This window comes from Homo sapiens, chromosome 7, assembly GCF_000001405.40.
Source record: "Homo sapiens chromosome 7, GRCh38.p14 Primary Assembly".
NCBI lineage: Eukaryota > Metazoa > Chordata > Mammalia > Primates > Hominidae > Homo > Homo sapiens.
This window is the reverse complement of record NC_000007.14, coordinates 49,100,287-49,108,671: the sequence shown is the minus strand read 5'-3', so window position 1 is coordinate 49,108,671 and position 8,385 is coordinate 49,100,287. Positions and strand designations below refer to the sequence as shown.

The window sequence follows — 8,385 nt, the reverse complement described above, 5'->3', positions numbered from 1 at the left end:
ACTACCAGGAGAACAGTATGAGGGAAACAACCCCCATTATTCAATTATCTCCCAGCAGGTCCCTCCCATGGGAATTGTGGGAGCTACAATTCAAGATGAGATTTGGGTAGGGACACAACCAAACCATGTCATTCCAACCCTGGAGCCTCCCAAATCTCATGTTTTTACATTTTAAAACAATCATGCCTTCCCAACACTTCCCCAAAGTCTTAACTCATTTCACCATTAACTCAAAAGCCTGCAGTCCAAAGTCTCATCTGAGACAAGGCAAGTCCCTTTTGCCTCTGAGCCTGTAAAACCAAGAGCAAGTTAGTTACTTCCTAGGTGCAATGGGGGTACAGAAATTAGATAAATATTCCTATTCCAAATGGGAGAAATTGGCCAAAACAAAGGGGCCAAAGGCCACATTCAATTCTGAAATCCAGTGGGGCAGTCAAATCTTAAAGCTCCAAAAAGATCTCCTTTTACTCCATGTCTCACATCCAGGTCACACTGATGAAAGAGGTAGACTCCCATGGCCTTGGGCAGCTTCACCCCTGTGGCTTTTCAGGGTATAATCCTCCTCCTGGCTGCTTTCACAGGCTGGCATTGAGTGCTTGTGGTTTTTCCAGGCACATGGTGCAAGCTGCTGATGGATTTACCATTCCGGGGACTGGAGGACGGTGGCCTCCTTCTCACAGCTCCACTAGACAGTGCCCCAGTAGGGACTCCATGTGGGGACTCCCACCCCACATTTCCCTTTCACACTGGCCTAGCAGAGGTTCTCCATGAGGCCACCACCCCTGCAACAAACTTCTGCCTGGGCATCCAGATGTTTCTGTACATCCTCTGAAATCTAGGTGAAGGTTCTCAAACCTCAATTCTTGACTTCTGTGCACCTGCAGGCTCAACATCAAGTGGAAGCTGCCAAAGCTTGGGGCTTGCACCCTCTGAAGCAACAGCCTGAGCTGCACCTTGGCCCCATTTAGCTGTGGCTGGAGTGACTGGGATGCAAGGCACCAAGTCCCTAGGCTGCACACAGCAGGGAGGACTAGGGCCTGGTCCATAAAACCATTTTTCCCTCCTAGGCCTCCAGGCCTGTGATGGGAGGTGCTGCTGTGAAGACTTCTGACATGTCCTGGAGACATTTTCCCCATAATCTTGGTGATTAACATTTGGCTCCTCATTACTTATGCAAATTTCTGTAGCCAGCTTGAATTTCTTCTCAGAAAATGGGTTTCTATTTTCTATTGCATTGTCAGACTGAAAATTTTCCAAACGTTTATGCTGTGTTATCCTTTTAAAACTGAATGTTTTTAACAGCACCCAAGCCACCTCTTGAATGCTTTGCTGCTTAGAAATTTCTTCTGACAGATACCCTAAATCATCTCCCTCAAGTCAAAGTTCCACAAATCTCTAGGGCAGGGGCAGAATGCCACCAGTCTCTTTGCTAAAACATAGCAAGAATCACCTTTACTCCAGTTCCCAGTAAGTTCCTCATCTCCATCTGAGATCACCTCAGCCCAGATTTCATTGTCCATATAATTATCAGCATTTTGGTCAAAGCCATTCAACAAGTTTCTAGGAAGTTCCAAGCTTTACCACATTTTCCTGTCTTCTTGTGAGCCCTCCACACTGTTACAGCCTCTGCCTGTTACCCAGTTTCAAAGCTGCTTACACATTTTCGGGTGTCTCTACAGCAGCACCCCACTATCTGGTATCAATTTACTATATTAGCCTGTTTTCATGCTACTGATAAAGACATAACTGACACTGGGTAATTTATAAAGAAAAAGAGGTTTAATGGACTCACAGTTCCACGTGGCTGGGAGGCACCACAATCATAGCAAAAGGTGAAAGGCATGTCCTATATGGCAGCAGACAATAGAGAAAATGAGAGCCAAGCAAAAGGGGTTTCCCTTTATAAAACCATCAGATCTCGTGAGACTTACTCACTACCAGGAGAATAGTATGGGGGAAACAACCCCTATGTTTCAATTATCTCCCACCAAGTCCCTCCTACTACACATGGAAATTGTAGGAGCTACAAATCAAGATTAGATTTGGGTGGGGACACAGCCAAAACATACCACCTTCATTGTGGTAATATCATTCATATTTTCATATGTCTAAACTCATCAAATTGTACACATTAAATATGCACATCTCTTTGAATATTCACTATATCTCACTAAATCTATTTTTGTTCAAGACCTAACTACTACCAGTAGCTCAGAATATGATCTTCTTTGGAAATAGGGTCATTGTAGACGGTAATTAGGTAGGATGAGTAAAATGAGGTCATGCTGGAGTAGGATAAGCCCTTAATCCAATATGACTGGTGTCCTTATAGAGAGCAGACACACGGAGACAGAGACACACACAGGAGAATCCACGTGATGACAGATGCAGGGACAAAAGTGTTGCTGCTGTAAGACAAGGAATGGCAAGGACTGCTGGCAAACATCGGAAGCTGCGGTGAGGCAAACAGGGACTCTCCTCTACGTGTTTCAGAGGAATCCTAGTTCTGTTGACACTTTGATTTTGGATTTCTGGTGTCCAAAAATGTGAGACAATACATTTCTGTTTTTTTTAAATGAAAAATAAAAAGAAACCTTAGTATAAGGTTCTATTGTGTGAGGAATACTTGCAATGTAGCTGGAATGTGTTTTAAGTGTCAACACCAGGAACTTCAACCCATAAATACTTATAAAGATGCATGAAACAGTGGAAAGGTTTAGATTCAGCAGCGATAGTAAATTTCAGTTGCCCAGAGCCTGGGTAGCTTTTTCTGGCACAGTATCCCCAGAAGAAAAGTGCCAGGTGCAGCTCATTTGTACACCGTTGTCCACAGGCTTTCAAGTCGACAGGAGCTCAGTCAGAGATAGACATGGCTTACTGAGAGAGGGGATGTCTATGGAGATCATTTAATCACTTTATTTTTTTTCTCAAAACTACTGTCTTTCAAAGTGCATCATTGGTTTTCACTTATCTGATCTGGATTATATAATAGACAGATCCCTTAGCTATTTTAGACATAGTTTAATTATTAATGAACAATCTCACCTTCAGAGAGCAAAAACCCCAGTCTACGTAACATCAAATGTTCAAAACCTCATCTGTTTTACAGCTCTGTCTCTTCCCTCAGCTCAGGTCTCACTCAGCCTTGAAACCTGCAGTTTGAAGAGGCACCATTTATCTCCCTAATTACTTCACCTCCTAGTATTTGAGGTGTTTATTATATAGTTGATAAAGTCTGAGAATCACAATCTTTGAGGGAAATATGTGTTTCAATGTTCATCTTTGACAATGAGTTGTCATTGACAGAAAATTGACCACTGACACATCTTGTAAAAAACAAAAAAAAACAAAAAGAGCAAATTTTGAAAACAAATCATGAGTCAATTTAAATTAGGGGCCAACTTGGAACCACACCTACCCAGCCATAGACCCCTCTGACATACACTGCAGCACGTGGGTCCTATGAAAAGAGCAATGTGCAAACAAGATCCAAGAAGTGTCTTATCTGAAATATGTTTATTCTCTACAACAGGACATATTAGGAAATGGTCCCAGTATATTCTGGTATAAATAAAAGTGTCATTAATGAGATATGAGCATAACTGTATACATTTAAAGTACAAACACATCAGAATTACAATACAACAAAAGACTTACAACAAAGAACAATGAAAAAATACATTCAAGGCAAATGATGATAAATTTAGGAAATTGGCTCAGATGTGAGAGTAATGAAGAAAGGATGAAGACAATAAAAAGGAATGCAGAACAGACACTGTATTATTACAATTAACTAACAATAATATATTATCTTCAAAATTATAATTAATAGAAGATAAAAGTGGAAATAAAAACATTAATCAAGATATGCAAATGAAGGACCTTATCCTAAAAATAGACTGTCAAAATAAATTATATTAAGTGAAATTCAATGCACCTGATACATGACAACTTTAAGACAGACATATGAAATGACTTTGGTTTAAAATGTTTCTCCTTTGAATTTGTTAATAATTCAGACGGCAATGATCCTTAGATAAACAGATGTAAATAAAATGCACTCATATATTTGAAGAGTAGATCACATATATGCTCTGAATTCACATCATCTATTGTGAATCATATTAAATATAAAAAGATTTTACCTTTAAATGGCAAAGGGTTGAAGATATCTCAAAGAACTGATTGAAGTCTGAATGAAAAAGCTAATTTTCTCACTTACTGTATGTGATAGTTTGTAAATTAATGCATCGGTTAACACCTTGATTCCCTCACCTTTCAGCAGCATAATACAAAGGTTATCATAATAAATAATAAATGTATTGTATATATACACTTTATATATACAGTAAATAGTACATTTATTTTATATGATTTATATACAATAAATAGCACATTGATTGTATATTTTATATATATATATATATATATATATATATATATATATATATAACAAATTCCCATCAGTGAATCAAATATAGTAGGGATAAAACTAATGATTATTGCATTGTTAATTATTGTTGTCATTACCAGTATATCTACTTGCATTTTCTGAAAAAGTATTCCAAGGAGTTGCATTCTTAAAAGTTTATGTAACTTTGTTGTTAGCATTTGGAGTAAATATTTTATCTTCTCTAGATTGAATAGGATTATGTCTTGCTCATTAATATGACCAATAATTATTTGACACTTTGTGCATTGCATTCTGTCAGAAAATATATTTAATCTATTTGGGTTTTTGAAGATAATATTTATATACTTTCAGTGCTGGACAAAGTAGTATTTTATCTGAAATGTGTGGATCAAAGATGTCTCCAGAAAACCAGCATTACATTCATTAATTTGAGGTAAAATCATGGAACCATCAGAAAGCTTAGCTTAAAAACTAATTGCAATCAGACATTTGGATATAAACAGAAAATAAAATATTTATTAGTAAAATTAATAAACATTCATAATTGTATAAATGAAGAAATGTTGAATAATTAATTGCACTGATCCAAGTAAATAAGTAAAATATGAATCCTACTATGTATTAAAAATTGTATCAAAAACTAGGTCCCAAATTTTATGTTAAGAGTCTCAGTTTTTGAGCTAAGCGGCAGGTATTTGGCATACTTTGAGCAGTGCATTTGTAGTCTGAGAATTGTTTCTTAAAATGGCACTCAACATTTTATTGCATTAGAAATTTGTGTTCCAGCTCTTGCAAAGTGGATTTTTTCCTTAACATTAACCTTCATAATTTCATTAGTTAGTTGTAGACTTTCTGGAGAAGTCTGTCACTAGGAGAATGCTCACAGCCTTAAATCCTGTAATACGATATTACCTAAAATTATCTTTGTGATTGTCAGAAAGAAAGGCATCAAGTTATGATAGTGCTACAAATTGATCAACAATAAAGGTTTGTTAGGCATCTTCTATTTGGTGGACTTTGTGCTAATACATCATATTTCATGCTCAATGTATACACAGTTTTTCTTTAATTACTTAAGCAATAGCCAAACAAGTTTAGATAACTTTGAAGTAAAATTTGGGTTTAAATTTACTTTAATATAGTTCATCTGACACTATTGATTTCATCTTATATTATATTCATATAAACTGTATTTTTTCCCATTGATTCTCAACATACCTATAATAGTAACATGTTTCTAAAATACAATAGTGATTAAACTAATTTCATAATTAAAAGATTTTGAAGACTCACGGAAACATATAGCCTTGTTACCATATTAATTACGGGTATATTTCTCAGGCAGTTTTCTTCTATATTTGTTGAGATTCTATCTGACACAGTCTTGAGGCATAGAACTAACCATACCTTCTTTAGGGGGGAAAAAAGTGAAGAAATTCTCAAGCAGAAAGTAGAGGGTGAAGGGGCTGCTTTTTTTATCACATATATGTGAAAGTTTTTTAGAGAAAAAAATAATTCCACAAAACTATTTTAAGATTAAATTGAAGAAAAGCATTCAGAATAACATTGCAGCCATTATAAGTGGCATTGTAACCTGCATTTTCAAATGCAGGCATTTCTTTTAAAGCAGGAATCTTTTCAAAGGAATTGAATCACACCCACAACTCACTGGGTGCATACCATTACTGGTTCTATGGTAATGTGAAGAAAGCTCTTCTTTCTACCCTCAGGAATAAGAAAAAGCTTTTATAAAATATGTAGAAATACTCAGATCTCTTTGCTAGTCGACTCCTCTATTTGAACTCTCTTCTAAAATGAAACACTGTGTTTTATTGTTTATTGTTTATATTCTCTATTATGTATTGTGATGTGAGAAAATTACAAGACCAGGAAAAGTGTCAGAGAGAAAAAAAAGATTATTGAAAGCAATTTTTATTAACGAATGTGTAGCTCCAGGTTGAAATTAAGATATACAACTATATTAAAATCTATTTTTGAATTAACACTTACATTTGAATATCTTATGGAAAATTTAACTTATTCTTTTAAGTGTGACACACCTTGTTTACTACATCATTACTTTTCTAATAAAATAGTTGTTTTGATATGTTGACTTTTGACTATTTGCAGGTTCTTAGGTATGTAGATATTGTAGTATAAAAGCCTATATAGGAAATAAAGAAAAGCCCTGTTTTGTTCACCATTACTAGTGAAAGCATCAGGTGAAAAGAATTTGTTTTAAAGAATCTTATTATACGACTTTGAATAACTTCCTAAAAATCTCTCAAAAAATAGTTCTTCGATCTCCAGATCTCTTCTTTTGATCATGATATGAGATTAAAAACCAATTAAAAGCTTGGGATTGGCAAAGATTTTTTTTTAGAAAAGACAAAATATATTGACTCTAAAGGAAAATTGGTAAATTGGACTTCACTAAAATAAAAAAAAAATCTGCTTTCTAAAAAACAAAAGAAAATATGAAGTACAAGTACAGATTGGAAAAAAATACTTGTAACACATAGCATCTGACAAAGAACTTGCATCCAGAATAAATAAAGTTATAATTAAATAATAATAAGACAAATAATGTACTCACAAATAGAGGGGCAAAAATTTACAGGGACACTTTAGAAAGGAAGATATATAAATGGCCAATAAACACATAGAAAAATGCTCACTGTCATTGGTCGTCAGATTGAATTAACTCACAATGTTCTGCCTGTGCATATTCATGAGATGTGGTAAAATTTTAAAAGGCTGACTTTCATGTGCGTCCGTGTGAAGAGACCACCAAACAGGCTTTGTGTGAGCAATAAAGCTTTTAATCACCTGGGTGCAGGCTGGCTGAGTCCGAAAAGAGAGTCAGCGAAGGGAGATAGGGGTGGAGCCGTTTTATAAGATTTGGGTAGGTAAAGGAAAATTACAGTCAAAGGGGGGTTGTTCTCTGGCGGGCAGAGTGGGGGTCACAAGGTGCTCAGTAGGGGAGCTTTTGAGCCAGGATGAGCCAGAAGAAGGAATTTCACAAGACAATGTCATCAGTTAAGGCAGGAACAGGCCATTTTCACTTCTTTTGTGGTGGAATGTCATCAGTTAAGGCAGGAACCGGCCATCTGGATGTGTAAGTGCATGTCACAGGGTATATGATGGCTTAGCTTGGGCTCAGAGGCCTGACACTGACAATAACAATTTTGATGAGGATGTGGAGCAAATAGAACTCATATATTACTGGTGAATATATAAAATGATACATCCACTTAAAAGAACAATTTAGAAATTTCTTACAAAGTTAAACATATCTTTACATAAGAATAAGCAATTCCACCCCTACCCCAAAAAAGGGAAAACATATGTTCACAAAAATAATTGTACATGAAACTTCACAGTGGCTTTATTCTTAATACCCTCAAACTAGAAAGAACTCAAATGTCTGACAACTGAAAGGATAAAAGCATTGGAGCAAAGTCCTACAATAGAACACAAATAATAAGTCTAACAGGATTTAACTACTGATTCACAAAACTACATGGCTGTATGTTAGAGTTTTTTTTTTTAATTTTGTTGTACATATACCTACTTTCTGCTTGATACCAATCAGAGGAAATAAACAGTAGTTCATCCTTGAATGGCAAGGAGAGTAATTCACCTTCACCATCTTGCTATAGAGCAGTGTTAACTCCTGATCTCCTGTTATTGTAGAAGCTACAGAGACTTTGTGTATTTTTTCTTTGAAAAAGTATCACATAAGTCCATATTATAATAAAGTCCAGCTAATTGGTGAACTAGGAGTAGCAGATATGTACTCTACATGACTCAAAGATTGATACACCTGAGAATCAGTCAGGTGTTTGGAATCTAGTCCTCTCCTGCATTGCCAGTGTAACCCCTGTTCAGGTAAAGAACAGGTTGTTGCAGCTTGCAGTAAGAAAGATAGTGGTGTTTATCAGGCTTCAAAAAGTTATGGAAGCAGCATA

At 35.9% G+C, this 8,385-nt stretch overlaps 2 annotated features.

The window, feature by feature from the left end:
• Positions 6,787–7,327: an enhancer, noted in NCBI's record as "OCT4-NANOG-H3K27ac hESC enhancer chr7:49140941-49141481 (GRCh37/hg19 assembly coordinates)". NCBI's record gives its function as "activates a minimal SCP1, AML or CMV promoter by ChIP-STARR-seq in primed H9 embryonic stem cells {active_cell/tissue: H9 hESC(primed)}" and the evidence as "EXISTENCE:reporter gene assay evidence [ECO:0000049][PMID:30033119]".
• Positions 7,328–7,869: an enhancer, noted in NCBI's record as "OCT4-NANOG-H3K27ac hESC enhancer chr7:49140399-49140940 (GRCh37/hg19 assembly coordinates)". NCBI's record gives its function as "activates a minimal SCP1, AML or CMV promoter by ChIP-STARR-seq in naive and primed H9 embryonic stem cells {active_cell/tissue: H9 hESC(naive and primed)}" and the evidence as "EXISTENCE:reporter gene assay evidence [ECO:0000049][PMID:30033119]".